The sequence below is a fragment of the Homo sapiens genome, chromosome 2, assembly GCF_000001405.40.
Source record: "Homo sapiens chromosome 2, GRCh38.p14 Primary Assembly".
In the NCBI taxonomy this organism is placed as follows: domain Eukaryota; kingdom Metazoa; phylum Chordata; class Mammalia; order Primates; family Hominidae; genus Homo; species Homo sapiens.
The window spans coordinates 110,831,469-110,851,572 of NC_000002.12; the positions used below are offsets into that span (position 1 = coordinate 110,831,469).

At 44.5% G+C, this 20,104-nt stretch overlaps 1 protein-coding gene across 30 annotated transcripts in view, besides 2 other annotated features; it reads left to right on the plus strand.

Annotated features, from left to right (window-relative positions):
• The window catches only part of ACOXL (acyl-CoA oxidase like), a 385,976-nt gene that overhangs the window by 98,896 nt on the left and 266,976 nt on the right, over window positions 1-20,104 (plus strand). For 28 of the 30 annotated variants that reach the window (NM_001437600.1, XM_011511414.4, NM_001142807.4 and 25 more), the window contains one exon: window positions 9,903-9,937. In NM_001437600.1, the coding sequence (NP_001424529.1) occupies window positions 9,903-9,937 (35 nt within the window). The other 2 variants (XM_017004433.3, XM_017004434.3) reach the window with 2 other exon arrangements.
• Window positions 5,087-6,075: an enhancer, noted in NCBI's record as "H3K4me1 hESC enhancer chr2:111594132-111595120 (GRCh37/hg19 assembly coordinates)". NCBI's record gives its function as "activates a minimal SCP1, AML or CMV promoter by ChIP-STARR-seq in naive H9 embryonic stem cells {active_cell/tissue: H9 hESC(naive)}" and the evidence as "EXISTENCE:reporter gene assay evidence [ECO:0000049][PMID:30033119]".
• Window positions 15,694-15,763: an enhancer, noted in NCBI's record as "active region_16375". NCBI's record gives its function as "activates an Ori minimal core promoter by ATAC-STARR-seq in GM12878 lymphoblastoid cells {active_cell/tissue: GM12878}" and the evidence as "EXISTENCE:reporter gene assay evidence [ECO:0000049][PMID:35858748]".

The following is a 20,104-nucleotide window of genomic DNA, read 5'->3' on the forward strand; positions in this document are numbered from 1 at the left end:
AGACACGTACCATGTTTATACATTGGAAGACTCCACATGATAAAGTTGTCAATTCTCCTCAGATTTAATGCAATTCCTATCAAAATCTCAGCAAGGTTTTATGTAAATATATCCAGGGTTATTCTAAAATTTATATGGGAGGGCAAAAGAATAGATAAACAATTCTGAAAAAGAAGAATAAAGTAGGTAGAATCAGTCTACCCAATTTCAAGATATATAGCTACAGAAATCAAGACTGTGTGGTACTGGCAGGAAGATCTACAAGTAGATCAATGGAGCAGATTAGGCATCCCAGAAATAGAACCAAACCAATTGCCCGTTGATTCTTTACAAAGGTGGAAGAGTGATTCAATGGAGGAAAGATGGCCTTTTCCACAAACAGTGCTGGAGTAATTGAACATCCACACATGAAAAAACAAGCCTTATACAAGTCTTACACCTTATATAAAAATGACTCAAAAGGGGTCACAGACTTAAATGTAAAATTTAAAACCATAAAACTTTTAGAAAAAAAAATAGAAACCAGCCTGAGCAACATAGTGAGACCTCCTGTCTAAATAAATAAATAAATACATAAAATCATCCAGGTGAGAATGGACACACCTGTGGTCCCAGCTACTTGGGAGGAGTTTGCGGCTTCAGTGAGTTATGATCATGCCACTGGACTTACCCTGGGTGACAGAGCAAGACTGTCTCACTAAAAAGGAGAAACTCTTTGAGGTATAGGGCTAGACAAAGAATTCTTAGACGTATCACTAAGGCATGATCCTTTAAAGAACAAACTAGTAGGCCGGGCGCGGTGGCTCACGCCTGTAATCCCAGCACTTTGGGAGGCCGAGGCGGGTGGATCATGAGGTCAGGAGATCGAGACCATCCTGGCTAACAAGGTGAAACCCCGTCTCTACTAAAAATACAAAAAATTAGCCGGGTGCGGTGGCGGGCGCCTGTAGTCCCAGCTACTCGGGAGGCTGAGGCAGGAGAATGGCATGAACCCGGGAAGCGGAGCTTGCAGTGAGCCGAGATTGCGCCACTGCAGTCCGCAGTCCGGCCTGGGCGACAGAGCGAGACTCCATCTCAAAAAAAAAAAAAAAAAAAAAGAACAAACTAGTAAGTTGGACTTCATCAAAATACTCTTTCCCTCTGTGAATACCTTGTTACAAGGATGAAATGACAAGTGCAGACTGGGAGAAAATATTTACAAATCACATATCTGACAAAGGACTAGTATGTAGAATATGTTAAGAGCTCTCAAAACTCAACAATAAAAGCTGAACAATCCAATTATAAAATGGGTAAAAGAGATTAAGAGCTATTTATCTGAAAAAGACATACAGATGGCAAATAAGCACATGAAAAGATGTTTAACATCACTAGCTATTAGGGAAATGTAAATTAAACCTACAGTGAGATATCACTACATACCTATCAGAATAGCTCAGATTTATAAAGTGATAGCGCCAAATGCTGGTGAGGATGTAGAAAAACAGCATCACTGGTACATTTCTGGTGAGATCATCAAGACTTTGGAAAACAGGTTAGCAGTTTCTTATAAAACTAAATATGCAACTGCCATATAACTGAGCAATTGTACTCCTGGGGATTTTCCCAGAGAAATGAAACATATTTTTTTCCACAAATACCTGAAAATGAATGTTTATACCAACTTTATTCATAACTCATAACTCAACTGGAAATAACCCAGATATCTTTCAACAGGTGAAAGGTTGAAAGATGCACTGTGGTGCATCTATACCATGGAACACTGCTCAGCAATACGAAGGAATAAACTATTGATACACACTGCAACCTCGATGAATCTCTAGACAATTATTCTAAGAAAGTCCAATCCTAAAGGTTACATCCTGCATGGTTACATTTACATAACATTCCTGAAATGACAAAATTATGGAAACGGAGAGCAGATTAGCGGCTGCCAGGGGCTAAGGAGTGGGCTGGGGAGGCAGGAAAGTAGGTGTGGCTACACACGGTCACCATGAGGGATGCTTGCGGGGATGGAGATGTCCTGTGGCTTGACTCTATCAGGGGAGTATCCTGCTTGTGATATTGTGCTAAGTTTGTGAGCTCTTACCATTGTGAGATACTGGATAAAGGGTACCCGGGATCTCTCTGTATTACTTCTCCATATAATTTCTTAGACCTGCATGCGAATCTACAATTATCTCAAAATAAACAGCCTGATTTAAAAAAACTGTTTATTTTCCCTGCAACAGATCTCCTGCACTCTTTTTAGCAGTTGCTGTTGTATTTCATGGACTGCCTCATGTACTTGGGTGGAGGATTTTTTTTACTTGTTTTGTGAATTTTTGGAGGGTAAGAATTTGATCGAGGAAAAGGTAGCTGAAAGCTAAGGAGAAAAAGTGTTTTCCTGTCTTTCTTTGAATACCTTTAAACTCTCTGTGGTCTTACATTGAAAAGCGATGTCTTGGGTTTTGACTCTTGACTGTGACAGGGCCTGGGGGTGAGAGGGGTCCACAAGCTGAGATGAGGTCTCTGAGCTGCTGTGACAGCCCATCAATGGGCTTGCACTTTCCTGTATTTAATGTCCCCAAATCCACCTTGGAAATACCCTAACGTTTTTGTTAACTGACCATGTTTGCGGGTGTCACATTTTTTTCCCTCTTAGTCCTTTCATGGTTCCTTTTCTTCTCTTTGTCCTCTTCCTCCTCTTCTGGCTGATTCTCCTCTGACTTAATAATCAATAGTGGTATTTAACACGTAATAAGAATCACTTAAGTGATTATTTACCACTGAATGTTCCAGAGTGTGAGGTGTTCTGGGATGTAAGGGATGCACAGAATCCACAGCCATTGTCATGATAATTTCTTTTAAGGGACTTCAGCTTTCTAGGAAAACACCGTGTGTGGTTTATTCATATTATCCGTTAGCCAACCCTTCATTATCAAGAGAAGCAAAGGAACTAGAGTGCATAATTCTTTTGTTTGAAACGTAAGCCTAAGAAAAATGTATTCATTGACAAGCTGTAAACAGCAGAGAGGAACTACCTGGAGTGAATTCAGCGGTTCCGGAGTCTTGGTTAGCAGCCCTGGGTGTGGGGCACACACACACAAGTAAGCAGCTCTGTCCTGCCATAGTCCCAGTTCACTGTGACAGATGATAGTCACTTAATAGAAATGACAAAGGTGACAGCCAATGTTCCTAAAGCCCATAACCATTGCCAGGTTCTTGCTCGAGAGCTTCCTGCCTGCTCTCTCCTGGTTTGAGTTCCCTCTCTGGAGAGGAGGTTGAGAGCAGAGGTGGTTCTCTGACCACCAAAGTCCCCAGCTTATGGGACTCCATCCCTGAAAAACACCCAGCAGAAGGGACCCAAGGTGATGTTGCTGCAGAGATGGCAACTCAGGACTCACAACTTTTCAAGTCTGGGTAAATGAGAGACAAAGCAAGTCCTTGTGAAGTGATCTCCATGCTTTTCAAGCAGGGTTGTAACTTTCAGTCCAAAAGGTAGTGCCTGGGTCAGGCTCTTTGTGGGGAGCAGTGAGGAATGGCAGCATAATGGGTCTTAGATTTTCAGTCATTTGGGGCCTAAAGAGTTAAAAGCCACCTGTTTCCTTAGGTTAAACAAGCACCGCCTAGGTTTCAATGTTAGTTCTGTGTTGATTTCCATTGATTTAACAACTTGTCTTTTACATCAGCTTTTGAAAATTTCAGATATGAATTACTGGGTTTCCAGCAAATCTGGAAAGAGCCTACATATTATATTTATCTCTTCCTTTTTATTTTTAACTTAAGTGTGGCTTTTTCTTTAATTTCTTTAGGTTTTTTTTTTAAATTTAATTCCAAGGGATCAAGGAATGGTAACATCATAAAGTAAGCTCCATAGTGAACATAAGTTGCTGCTTTTCCTCCTCTTCCCTGTCTTGTTGTATTTTTCCTCTTTTGGTGGAATGACAGAAAGGAACACAGAAAGGGGAGGGTGCTGCAGCCTGGTGAGGCTCCAAGGCTTGCCCTTGGCCTTGAGGAAGCTGGCTGCATCCTTGCTTGTCAGCAGCACTGTGCATCTAAGCAGAGTGCAGACACCTCTCCCTGCTGGTCTCCCGTGAGCACCAGGAGGCCTCATCTCCTCCAGACCTGCCAGTGGGCCTGAACTCGTGGTGATCATCATGGTGCCTGAAGCTGAGTATAGAACATTGAAATGACATTAAGAGGACATAAAATGTGAAAGGCTTCACTTTGGGCTGCGTCATCATTATCTGGCAGCTAATAAAAGCTTTGTCAGTACCACGCAGGTTGCTCAGTTCTTTCTGTACATCATCTCATTCAGTGCCTCTCAAACTTGACGCTTGTAGAACCAGCTGAAATGCCCAAGTTTGTGACTCAGTAGGTCTGGGTTTGGGCCTGATAATTTGCATTTCTCACAAGTTCCCAGGGGAGACTGATACTGCTGGTCCTCGTTTTTGAGGTCAAAGTTAATCGGCCTAAAACAACCCTGTGGAGTAGGTAACATTATCCTCATTTCACAATGAAGAAACAGGCTGGAAAGGTCGGGGTTTGGCCACAAAGCTCACTGTTACTTCCACCAGCATCTCTAAGCATCATTAGCTTATCAGCAGAAGTAGCAAGTACCTAAGAAAGTTGTAGAAGACATCCGTGGCAGAGACCCAGTGAGCTGTGGTGGGTGTGATAGGGTTTGAGAGTCAGGCCCATGGAATCAGTAAGATCTGGGGTGGTGCCTGGGGACGACCAGCCCTGGAGGGGGCTGTTGGGGGTAGTGTGCTGGTCTTGCTTGTTATCATGAGAGAGCGGTGCTAGAAGGAGACCTGGGAAGGGGTTACAGAAATCTGTCCTGTGGATCACTTTCTTCCAGTCCTCATGTCCTTGCTGCCAGCATCTCATGACCCTGTTTGAGTGGTATTCTGTGTGTCCATGGCTCTCTTTGAGTGGTATTCTGTGCCTGCCTGGCCCTGTTTGAGTGGTATTCTGTGTGTCCATGGCTCTCTTTGAGTGGTATTCTGTGCCTGCCTGGCCCTGTTTGGTATTCTGTGCATGCCAAGGCCCTGTTTGAGTGGTATTATGTGGGTGCCGTGGCCCTGTCTGAGTGGTATTCTGTGGGTGCCATGGCCCTGTTTGCATGGTATTCTGCCCATGTCATGCCTCTTCTTCCCTTCACGTTTCTTTTTCCATATTTTCTGTGAAAAGGGGACAGGAACAGTAAAACCATACAGAAGAAAAACAAATACCAATTTCTTTTAGTGTTTGTTTTGTGATGTACAATTCTTTAGGCCTTTGAAATGAAAAAAGGAAAAGTAAAGAAAAAGCTTCCCACAAGTATGGGAAAGGGAGGGAAGCCTTGGAAGAAATAGGCAGGCTCTTTCCAGATTTGTCGCCTATGCGTAGATTCAGATCTGCAGACCCGGGTATAAGCTTGGCAGCAGGCAGGGTGCAAGGCAGGTTGCAGGCGGGCGGCCTCCTCGCCAAATCCTGTTGACATGTTTTGTTTGGCTTGAATCGTATTTGAAAAATATTCAAATTAGTTTAAAACGTGGAAATTTTCATAATAAAAAACCCCATTATCCAGCTTTTGTTGAAGAATTGGGAGTGCTGGCATCAGGCTGCTGGTGGGTTGGTGGCCTCCTCTGTGAAAAGACCTGGCTCCTAGGTCATGGCCCCTCCAGCATGGGACAGGGGCCCTGGAGTGTGCCACTGTCCCAGGCCTAGAAAGTTCTGGACTTGGACTTGGAGCTGGGAGACTGGAGCCGGTGCTTCCTGGTCTCTCCTTTTCACCTGCTCTTGGCAGCCATGTGTGAGAGAGCACATCTTCACCATGAGGTCCAGGGTACCTTCAAAAGATCGGATTCCCAGTGACATAGGGACACAGGGACCCTTGGTCAAGTGGGCATTTGGGAAGTGGCGCTTAGTAGCAATCGTGAACATGTAAGGGAATCTCTTTGCTGCCTTCTAAGATAGTGTAAACCATTCCTTTCTTTAAAAAAATTATAATGTGTTTAAAAAATGTGTTTTTAAAAATTATTATTATTTTACAAGATCCATGAAATCTACGTGGTGCTTTATAGGGCGTATCTGGCTACAGCTGGTGTACTTCTGGGTGTTTTATGGCAAATTATTCTCAGATTACCCTTTAATGCAGGAAGGTCTGCCTGTTGTCTGAGCTCGCTGGGTCATATGGAAACCCCTCCAACTTGATGCAAAACAGCTGCCTCAGTCAGCTGTTCCAAAAAAGGAGCATTTTCAAGCTGAAGTGGCAGGAAAATTTTTGAAATGTTGAATTACTCTTTCCTTGCCATTAAAATGTGATTTAATTTTGATACTAACAAATTGTGTAAATCTAAAATGAAGTACTCAGAATGGAGTTTGTTTAGTGTGTTCTGGCAATACTTACAGTATGTCCTCAGTAGGGGGTGTTCCCCAGGGAGGGCAGCACAAAATCCCTCTGACCTCCGTGTCCCAGGACCTCAGCCTGGCTGGGCCAGGGTCAGGGGCCAACCCACGGGCCTCCCTCCCCTCTCTCTTCTGGATCCCTGCTGAGACCAGCAACAAAGGGGTCAATTGTCTGAGGCCTCCTTTTGTCTAAGGGGCTCCATGAGCCTCTCTGAATGCCAAAGTGTATCCATGCATGTGGATGAGTGTGTGTATGCACCTATATATGAGTGTGCATGTGTGCACATGCGGTGGTACACGTGTGTGCATGTATGTGTACTTGCATATGCATGCATGTATGCACATGTGAATAAACACATGCACACAAGCACTAAAAGACTGCATGTGTGCGTGTGCATGTCTGAATGTGGACGAGTGTATGTGTGTGTGCCTGCATGTGTGCACACGTGTGAATGTGCATATGTGCACTAGTGTGCATATGTGTGTGTGCAGTGTACATGTGCTGTGTGTGTGTGCGTGTGTGTGCGCACACACAGGCAGTGGTGAGACTTGCTTAAAGCGTTTCTGAGTTGCTGATGCATCAGAGCAGGGCGAGGGGCTTTGGAAAGGCCTGACTAGATGATGGAGGTTCCTAAGGCCTAGGAGGAAAAGCATCTCATCTCTCAGCAGATCACACAGTTGCCTCTACCTGGCATTTGCTATGGTACAGAAACCCCAGAGACTCTTCTACCTCCCCTGCTTTCTCTGTAGGAATGAGGAAGAGCAGGCATACATATGGAAGCTTCTTACACAGCTCATTTGCCTCATTGGTCTGTTCCAACCTGGGGTTTCAAGGGAAGACCCACAAGAACTTTTCTACACTGTTCCAGCCTTTGTTCAGGCCTTCCTCATTGGACCCAGTGTATTCTGTGTGACATTTCAGCCATGTTTCCAGAATGACTGTGAAATACCCTGTTCCCATCCACCCTGGAAGTGGGTTCCCACATAGCACGGAGGCTTTCCCCCCTCCCCAGTTGTCGTGTGCCCTTGCAGGTCCTGTTCATGCAGAGGCCTGCCAGGAGCCCTGGCTGCTGTGTCGTTTGGTTTGAGCCCTCCCTGTCCACTGGAGTTTCCTTGATTCACACCTTCTTCCTTAACAAGGTGTCCTTTTAAGAATGACAATAAAACATATTTTATTCAGAAGCCAGGAAAAGACTCATAAAAACACTTCATTGAAATTCACCTTTGTGAAAGATTCATCTCCCAGCCCCCTTTAACCAGCACAGCTGTCATGAACAACTTTTTCTGTGTTTTTTTTTTTTCTTCTTGTCCCTCCCACCCCATTTCCTCTCCCTACTCCAGCAAGGGCTTATCTTTCAACTGTGGAAAAGCCACCAATTAAACTGTACTCCAAAGCTTATCAAAATATTCAGTCAGTAAAATTATCTTATAATTAGCCTCACTGTAAGCCAGAACGTTTTAATCCCAGGAAATGTAAAGTTATCCGGCATGTGAAATCTGTAAATTGCTCATCCTGACCTTCTGTCTACAGTTTCTACTTTTATTTCTTTCCCAAAGTAATTTCTTCCTTGTTCTTCAAATTCTTGATTGTCTCTGAGGCATCTTCCTCTTCTGTTTGCTTAAGTTTCAAAGAAAATTTACTCCTAGTTGAGATAGAGAATTGAAAAATTCAGGTGATTGTGATGTGCAATCAACCTGATTTTATATATTTCATACCTTCACTTTGAACTGTTCTTTTTGCAAACGTAAGTCTCTGATTGCTGATGGCTTGCCCTCGTTGGTCCTGTACTTTGGATGCCTGCAGTGGTATGCATGGCTGAATTATTCTGGAACCAAGCTATTCAAACAGTATCTGGGGGATTCTGCAGGACGTCGAGCTGGGCAGTGGCGTTGGACTTTTTAATTTCAACCATTTCTCTTCTCATAGCTCTCCCTCCCCTTTCACCCTCCCACAGCCTGGGGATCCTCCTATCATCTTGCACCACCTGGGACAGCACCATGAATGTTACTTCCCCACCCCATCCTATTTGGACCAACATCAAGGGAACCATAAGTGATGTTTGGGGATCTTAAGCTTAAGGTGCAACTTAGACTTTGGCTACAGAAATGATATTCAGATGATGCTTAGGTTTGTTGTTGTTGTTGTTTGTTGTTGTTGTTGTTTTTGACGGAGTCTCACTCTGTCACCCAGGCTGGAGTGCGGTGGCGCAATCTCAGCTCACTGCAAGCTCCACCTCCCCAGGTTCAATCGATTCTCCTGCCTCAGCCTCCTGAGTAGCCGGGATTACAGGTGCCCGCCACCGCACCTGGCTAATTTTTTGTATTTTAGTAGAAATGGGGTTTCACCATCTTGGCCAGGCTGGTCTTGATCTCCTGACCTCGTGAATGGGCTAGTGAAACTTACATAGGCATGTTTGACCTGGTCATCACTTGTTGTATGATGAAATATTTTCAAAGTTCCCAGAACTCATTGAAAAATTAAATTTTGGAATGTACTAACATTTCAATAAATGGAGTATTGCCTGTATATAGTGCTATTAGTGGTAGTTATTATTTATAGAATTTTTCCTATCACACAATAGGCACACGCATACACACACAGAGATAAGAACACACAAATACATAAAAATTGCTTCATCCTTACATTAATTCTGTGAGAAAGTAATAAATTTGCCCATTTTACAGTTGGGAAAATTAAGGCTCTGACAGTTTCAATAACTTGCTGATGCAGCTGAACTTGACTGGCTGGCCTGACCCTTGTAATCCCTTCTGTGAACTAGCCAGGGCCCCTGTCATATGATTTGACCCCCACTTATGCCTGAGAGATTTCCTCATCATCCCTGCAGAGTAAAGAGGAAATCACAGCTTCACCTCAACCTCCACTTGTTGCTGTGCCCAGCAATTGCATGCACCATATCTTGATGTCACACATGAATTTCAGGCTTGATTTATTTGCTGACCTCAGAGCTCAGAGCTGAGGCTTGCCCGCCTTGAGCTTATGGGATCAGTGTGAAGGCTGTGATGATCCGCATAGGGAGACTCTGGCCCAGGTGGCCTGGGCTCCACTTGGTGCTCCTAGGGTAGGAGATAGAGGGGGGACCAGCTCCCAGGATCCCACCATGTGTGGGCGTGTTCTCCTAATGCCAACCTTGGAATCAGCTACATGCGTGTTCTCCTAATGCCAACCTTGGAATCAGCTACATGCTGCAATCCCATCCTTTCACAACTGTGTCTTGGAGCTAAAAGACCCCTATTTTGGAAGCCATTCCTATTGAGAGACACCTCCTGTCTAATCCACAACTAAATATTTTACGCCTCTGTAAGACTCTTTCAAAATACAAATTATCTGTAAGAGCTAAGTTGAAACTAAATATCTGTCATTAAAATGTGTTATTTTTGAAGCATTAGCTGTAGGGCATTTTAGAAAATCTTTAAAACGTAATTGGCCGTATCAAGTTAATTTTCTTGTGTGAATTCTGCATACTCTTGATATTACTTAATTTGTTTTTCTCTCTTTTTAATTACAGCTTGGGTTGACGATAGCCATTCGCTATAGCCACAGGTAAATGTTTACATTTTTGTTTCTTTTAAGAATTATCCTTACCAGTTTATAGCTCTTGGTTTGCTTATGTCTCAGATTTTGAGCTTTTTTTTGGTGGTTGCTTTCCTGTGATGTCCGTGTCGCAGATGGAATTGTTCTAGTTGCTTGATTGGCAAGAGCACATTGCTATTTAGAGGAACGAGGTCTTTGTGAAAACATGGTGGTAGATAGCACATTTATTTCAAAACAAACAAAAAAAGGGATATTCTAGGGCATGACACAGAAGCACTATCTGGGTAATGTTCTCACTCTTAAAGAGTGCCTGAAAACGGGGATGCCCTGCATGAGAGGTGAGTCCCAGCAGAGAGAAACCCAGCAAGGGCTTGTCTGTGAAGCCCTTGCCACCTTCCATGCCAGGCCTCTCTCTCTGTGTCTTAGGATGCCTGACAGTGGCAAAAAGCCCTATTTTTGTCTTGCTTCATGATTTCTGTCTTGGTCTCTACTGTATTACACTTGTGAAAAATGTTTGTTTCTTGTGTTGATATCAACATTTTCCCCTTTGCATGTGTCAAAATGCGTTGAGATGTTAAAGTAAGATCCAGCTCCAGTGGAGGGGTAATAAGCAGTCCTGTCCTTACAAAAACTGTGCTCACAGCCTCCCAAAGTGCCACCCTGTGGTCATAGGCTTCGGGCTTGGGGATGTCTGCTCAGCTGCCCACAGACAACCTAAAGTCACCTGATTTCGAAAGAAGTTTGCCTCCTAAAAATGCTCATAACAAGTGTATACATGGTTTCAATATACACGTGAATTGGGCAATCATAGGCAATACCTGAGAGCTAGAAAGCTGGGGGGGAGCCATGTAGGTTACAGCAGGAAGAGGGCAGGAGAGGACTCAAGCCCTTGGAATGAGCCTGTGGGAAGAAAGGTTCTCATGTGGGACATTTCTGGAGACCTATGAAAGAAACTGCTCCAGAGAGGCTCAAGATCATGGAGGGGAAAGAAATACATTTTCCTGGCCCATTGCTAGGTGCATGGCTGAGTCTCCATACAAAAGACAGATTAACTAGAGAAAGCATGCACATTTATTTAATATAAGTTTTATATAACATGGGAGCTCTCACAAGGAAATAAAGACCCAAAGTAACAGAGAAACCTGTATGTTTTTAATGTTAGTTTGATGGAGAAGTGCACAGTTGTAGAGATGGATAATTGGACAAAGAGGGTATGATCTAATGGTGATAAACTGGGTGGGGGATTGGGGACTTAACAAACTTAGCCTGTTTGTTCAGATTCTGTGGTCCTGTGTCTTCAGAGATAAGTATGTTTCTTTTCTCTGGGTATATGGAGGCTACCTCTCAAATGAGAATTTTATGGCCTGTATCAGGGGCGGAGGGGAAGGGGAAGGTGAGAGTGACCTTCCTGCTTCTGCTGTTTTCTCAAATGCCAAGGTGCCGTTTTTTAGTGTATTGTGTCCTGAACCCCATCAATTGTTTGTATGTTTCCGGTCCTATGAGTGCATGATGCATGCCCACGACAAAAGTGTGGTGTCCTGCAGACGGGTGCTCTTCCCTTGTAACCCCAGCCAGGCTGCTGCAGCTGCTGAGGCACACAGCTATGGCACACTTAGGAAGAAGCATGGTGCGCACACGGACCCCTAACCCTAAAACCAACTGTGTGGTATGGTGGGGTGCGGTGGGTATGGAAGTGCTCTCTCCAGAACTTGCAGGAGCCTCTTTTTCTAGAATGTTCTCAAGGTGGACTGCTCCAGAATGAGGACAGCTAAGATCTTGCTCTAGTTCAGTGACAAGCTTGCCCTTCCCCATGATGTCTCACTATGTTGCAAGGGCTGGTTTTGAACTCCTAGACTCAAGCAGTGCTTCTGCCTTGGCCTCCCAAATTGCTGGGATTACAGGAGTGAGCCACCATGCCTGGCCAATGTAGGCTTCTAAGAGGAAGGAAATCTTAAACCATCCTCATTCCTCCAAACTGTGAAAGTGGCAGGGAAGCCCAGCTGACTCAGGCAGATGCCCCTGGTAGGCTGATAACATGGGTCTCTCAGAACAAATAGTCTTTAAATTGCTGTCTGGCATTGCTGTGGAGGAGAGGCAGAGTTTGGGGAGAGTGTGGAGGTGTGGGGTGGATCCTGGCGGCTTCAGATTGCTTCTGTAGTTCTACTAGTTCAGCCTTGACCCCAAACTTAGAACCTACTCCTCAAACAAGCCCTGCAGAGAGTTGGACAAAATGCAAGGAGGAAGTTAGCAGCTGTCTGTTGTACATGAGCTTGCCTCTTTAGGCTCCAGCCCCCACGTTCTGTGCTCTGCTCTCCCCAGGAGACATCCTAGCACATGTGGTTTCCCCCTGCTGTGTTTCCAGAGATGTTTGTCTCCAGGCTGTCCTTATAACCTTTAAGGTGTTAAGTGCAGAGCAATTAACAAATATCATGGATATTTACATAAGTGCAACAATAAACAAACAAAAATCTCAGTAAGTGGGAGAAGTGACAACTGAAAGTGATGAGATTGAGGGAAGGAAAGTGAAGACATCTCCTGAGGCTGCCTTGCAAGGTCCAAGGTCCTTCACCATCGACCTTGGGATCTGGGGACCAGGGAGCGAGTGGTAGCCCAGTGAAGCCGGTATTCACAAAAGGCTGCCTGCAGCAGCTGGTGTCATCTGTAGAGGAGTCTGAAGACTTTGGGAGCAGAAAGAATGGTTAGAAAGTGATTGCAGTAACTCAGAGACAGCATGAGGGCTTTCTAGGCTTGGCTGGGCCTCTCACAAAATATGAATGTCTGATTCACACAAGCCAAGCTGGGAAGACTTACCGAGGAGCATGTGACCTGCTCACGGACTGACATCTTCAATACTGTGGAAACGGAGAAGGGATGATCAAAGGGTTGTGTTTTCCAAAAATTACTTCTGAAATCTAAGGAATTCTGATTTTAACATTCTGGAAAGTACAACAACATTTGTAAATTTGTGCTGGGGACAAACCTACCTTCTGGGAAATCCCCATTTTCCCAGAATTGATGACACTTCACGAGGTGTCTCTGAAGAGCTGTTTGCAGGTCAGGGCTTTTCTTCCCCTCGGCCACAGGAGGACCTGATCTTTTCTCTTAGAAGCCTGCAGGTCACCCTTTGACTCTTCTTTTTTTTTCTTTTCTTTTCTTTTTTTTTTTTTTTGAGACAGAGTCTTGCTCTGTCATCCAGGCTGGAATGCAGTGGCATGATCTTGGCTCACTGTAACCTCTGCCACCTAGGTTCAAGCAATTCTCATACCTCAGCCTCCCGAATAGCTGGGATTACAGGCACCTGCCATCACGCCCAGCTAATTTTTTATTTTTAGTAGAGACAGGGTTTCACCATGTTGGCCAGGCTGGTCTCGAACTCCTGACCTCAAGGGATCCGCCCACTTTTGCCTCCCAAAGTGCTGGGATTACAGGTGTGAGCCACCACGCCCGGCCACCGTGACTCTTCTGCTCCCTCTTACACCTAGCCTGGCCACCTACCTCTCCCCTCATCCAGCAGGAGGAAGATGAGGGATGTAGGTTTCTGGTTGAGTTCCCTCTTTAAAAATCCTATTTGCTTGTTTGGATTGGCTGAAACTTCTATCCTTTAGTCGATTACTTTTTTCCTGTGTGGTGAAATATGCCTAACATAAAATCAGCCATTTGTTTTAGTCTGTTTGTGCTGCTATAACAAAATACCATAGACTGGGTACTTTATAAAGAACAGAAATTTATTTTCTCACAGTCCTGGGAGGGCCAAGATGAAGGCGCCAGCAGGTTCAGTTGTCTGGTGAGGGCCTGGTCTCTGCTTCCAAGATGGTGCCTTGTTGCTGCAGCCATGGGCAGGGAGGAGTGCTGTGTTGTCACGTGGCAGAAGGGAGAGGAGCAAGAGGGGAAGGCTTCATGAAGCCTCTTTATAAGGGTCTTCTTCTCATTCGTGAGGGAGGAGCCCTCATGGCTTAATCACCTTTTAAAGGCCCCACCTCTTAATATCATCACGTTGGCCGTTAAGTTTCAACACCTGAATTTTTGAGGGAACACATGCAAACCCTAGCACCATTTTAACCATTTTTAAGTGTATAGTTTAGTGGCATTAAATACATTCCCACTGCTGTGCAATCAACACCACTGTCCATCTCCAGAGCGTTTTCAACATTGCAAACTGTAACTCCATACCCATTAAACAATACATTTCCTTCCTCAACTCCTCTTCACTTCCTGACAACCACCATTTTACTTTTTGTCTCTATAAATTTGACTATTCTAGGGACTTTATATTAGTGGAATAATACAGCATTTGCCTTTTCGTGACTACCTTATTTAACTTAGCATAATTCTTCAAGATTCATGCATATTGTAGAATGTACCAGAATTTCATTCCCTTCTGTGGGATAATATTCCATAGCATGTATAGGCCACGTTCTGTTTCTCCATTCATCCATCAGTAGACACTTGGGTCGCTTCCACCTCTTCGCCACTGTGAATAATGCTGCTATGAATTTGGATGTACAAATATCTCTTTGACACCCTGCTTTCAATTCTTTTGGGTACATGCCCAGAAGTGGAATTCCTGAATCCTATGGTAACTCTAAGTTTAAGTTTTTGAGGAGGGGCCATACTGTTTTCCTATCGATTACCATTTTCCTTGTCATGTTGACCCCAAACCCAGATGCCAGAGTTGAGGGAAGGGGTCCTCTTTGTGTGGGTAGGGATACCTTTGGCATCAAGATTTGAGACTTTAGATTCTAAATCTAAGACCAGATTTGGAATTTGGAAGCAGATCAGATCTGCTTCCAAAATTCTAACATGGGCGTCAGGACCAAGAGAGATGGTGGGGAAAGCCCCAGCAGACTCCTTTAGTAGACAGAAGAGGGGATGAAGGAAAGGGGGACAGGAAAACGTGGTTCCAAAATGACAATACTGGGAGGATGGGTTCACTCTTGAAGAAGAATGGATTTGGGGACCTTAAAGGCGATGAATGTGCAGAGGAGGGAAAGAAGTCACTAAAATCCTGTACCCTTGGCCAGCCAGCAGTGCCTCTCAGGCTGCTGCAGACACAGAGGGGGCAGGATTGCCTCAGAGCCGGAGGGGCTCTTGTGTGGCAACAGAGGACTTGAGGCCCAAAGGAGGCCTGATTTTGTTTGCATGCATATGCAGTGGTGCTTCAGCTGTTAGCTCTCCTTTATTCAAATGAACAGCGTTCAGGGTGAGACCATCCTCCCGCATGTGAGCATGCAAGTATGCATACACGCACACACACACACACACACACACACACACACACAGTGTAACACATGCCCACCCCAACCACTTCCACTGCTGACCCCAGACACCTCTAACTCTTGCTAGACCAGTTATTCCAGATCTGTCTGTGGTATAGAGGGGTGTGTGTGTGTTGGGGGGGGTGTATGTGTTTGTGTGTGTCTTCATATGAGCATGTGGGTAGGGAGCTGAGGGGTCAGGAAGCAGAGAAAGAATCATCATATTTCGATGGTGTAAATGTACCAAGCAAGGAGAGCCTCTGCCATGACTGCCTGCGCGCTTAACAACAGGTCCTGCTCATGTTTCGTTTATTATCATGGCGCTTTAATTTATTTTTGTAAAGTCAAGCCATTTTCACAGAGTGGAAAATTGTCTCTTGATGTTCATTCCCCACTGTTTGGCTTGAGGTTTTTGGGTGGAATCCACACAGTGGTGACAGCTGGGTAACCCCCAGAAGTGCCCTTTGCAGATAACAGCTCTCGGGGCCCCATCACCCACACAGTGGGGAACAATTTCCCCACTGTGTGGGTGTTTTGTTTTTTTCTCTTTCTGCAAGATTGAAAGAGAGTTTAGATGTTCTTCCTGCCTGACGCAGTGCAGCAGAGTGAAGAAGGCTGCTCCCTCCTGGTGAGTGCCCCTGGGCCAAGATAAAAGAGGAAACAGGCTCAGAGGTGAGCATCACCCCTTTGGCTCTCACTTGTCTGATACTGGAGAGAACACGTGAACTAATGCGTGGAATCTGTGCACATGTCACTTATGCTTGTATTTCTAAGAAGAGCTCGTGAAAGTGGAGGATGAGAGCAGTGAACTAATTCCTAACACAACGATTTTGCTTTGTTTTTTCATTAGTTATGTTTCTTTAATAAACGAAGAAGGAAGCAAATTTTCCATTTGGTTCTGTGATAGTTAAATGGAGGTCCACAGAGTTGTGACTCTTAAGCAAAGTCTAAATGCAGTTCTTTCCCACAACTGACTTCTTTCTATTGGCTTCTCACCTAAGAAAGGCTAAATCTGGCATCCTGTTCAGGCCTGTGCCCAAACCTAATATGGGAGTTATAGTCACCGGCCCCGTAAGAGGCCCTGGCACCCCTCGAGGGCTGGACGGGGAAAGAGAGAGTTGGGGAACCTGCGTGTGATCGAACTGCTCACAGTGTGACCGTCCTGAGCTAGACTATTGGAGGCCTGCCTTTACAACAAAGTACAGACCCGGGGTGATTAAGCACTCATTCTGAGACTGTGCTCGTGTTTTTGTTTAGAATGAGCCCAGATGGCCTAGAAGAAGTGAAGGGGTTGTGTACTTTTGTGTTCTGATTTAGATTAGAAGCAGAGTTTGAAGTTCATAGATGAATCAGAATGCTTATTGAATGAAAAAGCAGCATCAATGAGCAAATGAAATTGCCATCTTGAAATACAAAAGGGAGGAAAAGACCAGAACCACAGCCATCAGGCCTATTGGATTTTGATTTCAAGTGTTGGCAAATACCTAGCAACTCCCATTTGGGGCTGGTTTGATCTTGTGGAGACAGCTGAGGAGACCGTTTTCCTCCAAATTTTGTAAAAATAAACAAAAATGCCTTTCTGCCCTTTTTTCCCCTTCCAGGGAATAGTTGTTTCTGTCACTGAGGCTCTCTGGTAGACTGTTCCATCTGTCTCTTTTTCAGACTTCACAGTGAGGCTCCAACCAGATATACACAGGGTTGCCAAGAAATTATTCAACCCCAATGGTATAATCTTAAAACAAAGCCATCTTTTGGATGGTTGCGTTTTTGATGGCCTTAACACAAAATATTGCCCCTAAATGGCAGCCTATGAATATTCACGGAGTGCCCAAGTCATATGCTTTTCCTTAGTGAGACTCTTGAGGGCCGAGGGTGGTTGTCAGCATCTCATGGCAGAGCGTGGCATGGGGCTGTGGATTTGCTAGGAGAAGGGTAAATGCCCTTCGGGGTCCAGAGGTTAATGTAGCAGATGGATGTGTCTTTTCTGTGCCTCTCCTATACCCCTTTAGTCCCCTGTCTCCTTTGGGTTGGTGGCCTTGTGCTTTTGGTGCCTTCTGCTCTGACCACGTGACCATTTCCCAGTCAAACCTGCTCATGACATGTATGCTGCCACACCTACACAGTGGTCTCCGGGGAGCCTTCTGCCTGCTGACCAGTGACCAGAGGATCTTTCGCAAACACAGATCTGACCACGCCCCTCCCACTAAGAAGGCCCCTTGGGCTTCCCCGTGTAGACAGCAGAATCCTGACCTTTAGCACGGGATTCAGACCTCACTCCTCACGCTGCTGTCTCCTCACGCTGAGCTTCCTGCCACATCCACCCCTTGCTTTTGCTATTTCCCATGGAGGATTAACTTCCCTTGTCTCTCGCCGACCAGTGAACTCACCCTCCAACAGCCCCCCTTTATCGTCTCCTTTTCAGATCTATCAAGGAACCATGCTCCATGCTCTTTTCTGTTGTTGGGTCTCAGGGCAGCTTCTCAGGTCAGAGCCTAGCTCTATTTCTTCTCCTTCCTGTCTGCCTCAGGCAACAGGTGGGAAAGGCAGGCGGCATCCCTGTTCCCTCCACAAGTGCCCCTCTATGTCCTTACAGCCAAGGCCATTTAACAAAGCCCTACTGTGTCCACAGGTCTGGGAGGAACTGGTTAGTCTTTCTTGAATGATATCCCCCTGGAAAATGACCCCTCCCTTACTTTCAAAGACTAAGACATCCACATGAAATTGATCAGGAGATTCAACACAGCTCAAATTAAAATCCCAGTAAGATTTTGTGTAGAAATTGGCAAGATAATTCAAAAAATTTTATGGAAAGGCAAAAGACCTAGGCTGCGTGCCGTGGTTCACGCCTGTAATCCCAGCACTTTGGGAGGCTGAGGCAGGTGGATCACCTGAGGTCGGGAGTTCGAGACCAGCCTGGCCAACATGGTGAAACCTTGTCTCTACTAAAAGTACAAAAATTAGCCAGGCGTGGTGGCACGTGCTTGTAATCCCAGCTACTCAAGAGGCTGAGGCAGGAGAATTGCTTGAACCCGGGAGGTGGAGGTTGCAGTGAGCCGCGATTGCACTACTGCACTCCAGACTGGGTGACAGAGTGAGAAAAACAAACAAACAAACAAACAAACAAACAAAAAACAGAACTAGACCAGCCAAGCAATTTTGAAAAAGAACAGAGCTGGAAGACTTCCAGTACCTCATTTTCAGAATCGCTGTAAAGCTGCAGTAATCAAGAGCAGACTATAGGACATGTAGGCAAAAGGACAGACTTGTAGTCCAATGGGACATAGGAAGAAGTCAGGAGCAGACCCCACATGAATGATCAATGGATTTTCAACAAAGGCGCCAAAATGATTCAGTGGAGAAAGGATAATCTTTTAAATAAATGGAGCAATTGGACATCCATATAAAAATTCAAAAACCAAGAAAAACCCATACCACATACCTTGTAGCATGTACAAGCAACAAAGATGGATCATGAACCTAAATGTAAAGCCTAAAACCGTAAACCTTCTGGAAGAAAACATAGAAGAAAATCTTTGTGGTCTTGGCTTAGAGAAAACTTTCTTCAGACACAGAAAGTATGAACTGTCAAGGAAAAAGTTGGCAAAAATGGATTTTATCAAAATTAAAAACAGCTGCTCTTTGAAAAACACTGCAAAGAAATAAAAAGACAAGCCACACATGGGGACAAAATATTTGTAAAACACATATCTGATAAAGAAGTTGTATCCAGAGTATGTAGAACTCTTACAGCCCCTTCACAAGAAAATGAAACAACTCAATGTAATAAATGGGCAAAAAATACTCGAACTGATTATTCACCAAACAAGATGCATAGATGGCAAATAAGACCATGAAGGGATGCTCACCCTCATTAGTCATTAAGGAAATGCAAATTAAGGTAGAATGAGATACCATTACATATATGTTAGGATGGCTTAAAACTTCAATACCATCAAATTGACCCTCATCAAAACTTCCCAACACAAACACAAACAAAAAAACCACGCTGATAATATGAAGTGATGATGAGGATGTGGAGAAACTGCAACTCTGATACATTGCTGGTGGAAGGCGAAATGGTACGGCCACTTTGGAAAAACACTTTGGAAGTTTCTTATGATGTTAAACATACCTTTACCATAGACCCAGAGATTACACTCCCGGATACTTAAAGGAGAGAAATGAAAACGTTAGTGCACACCAAGACGTGTATGCATGGCTTCTCCATTCATAATAGCCTCAAACTGAAGACAATTCCAAATGTCCTTCCATTGGGAAGTGGGTAAACAGACTGTGTCACTTCCATACAGTGAGATACTACTCAGCAATAAAAAGACATTCTGCTGAGTGGAAAAAGCCAGACTCAAAAGTGCCCTTACTGTGTGATTCTTTTTGCATGACATTCTGGAAAAGAGCAAACTATAGGGAAGAAAGCAGACCCGTACTCACCAGGTGGGTGGAGGAGTTGACTAGAAAGCAAAGTGAGGGATTTTTGGGGGTTGACGGACAGATTCTAAATCTTGATTGTGGTGGTGACACGACTGTATATATTTTCCAAAATTCATAGTACTGTGACACCTAAATCAGGTGAATTTTATTGTAATTAAATTATGCTCAGTGAACTTGAATTAAAGAGAGTTAAGATAGGGGAGTCTCTGGATCACTTTTTTGAGGTGAGAACACTGTGTCTGAGGCCGTGTTGACACTTTTTCCAAGTGCTTCTGGGTATGGTTTGAGGGGGTTCTTTATGTGGAATTACTTGTTTTACGTGCCCAGGGTGAGGCCTTTGAGTTCACATTGAGCCACATTGTCATTTTCAATGAAGGCAGGTTGCAAGCTGTGTGACTGCACTCAGTTTAGCCCATTCCTCTTTCTAAGGCGTTCCACGACAACACAGGTGCAGTCAGGTCTTCCATCAGCT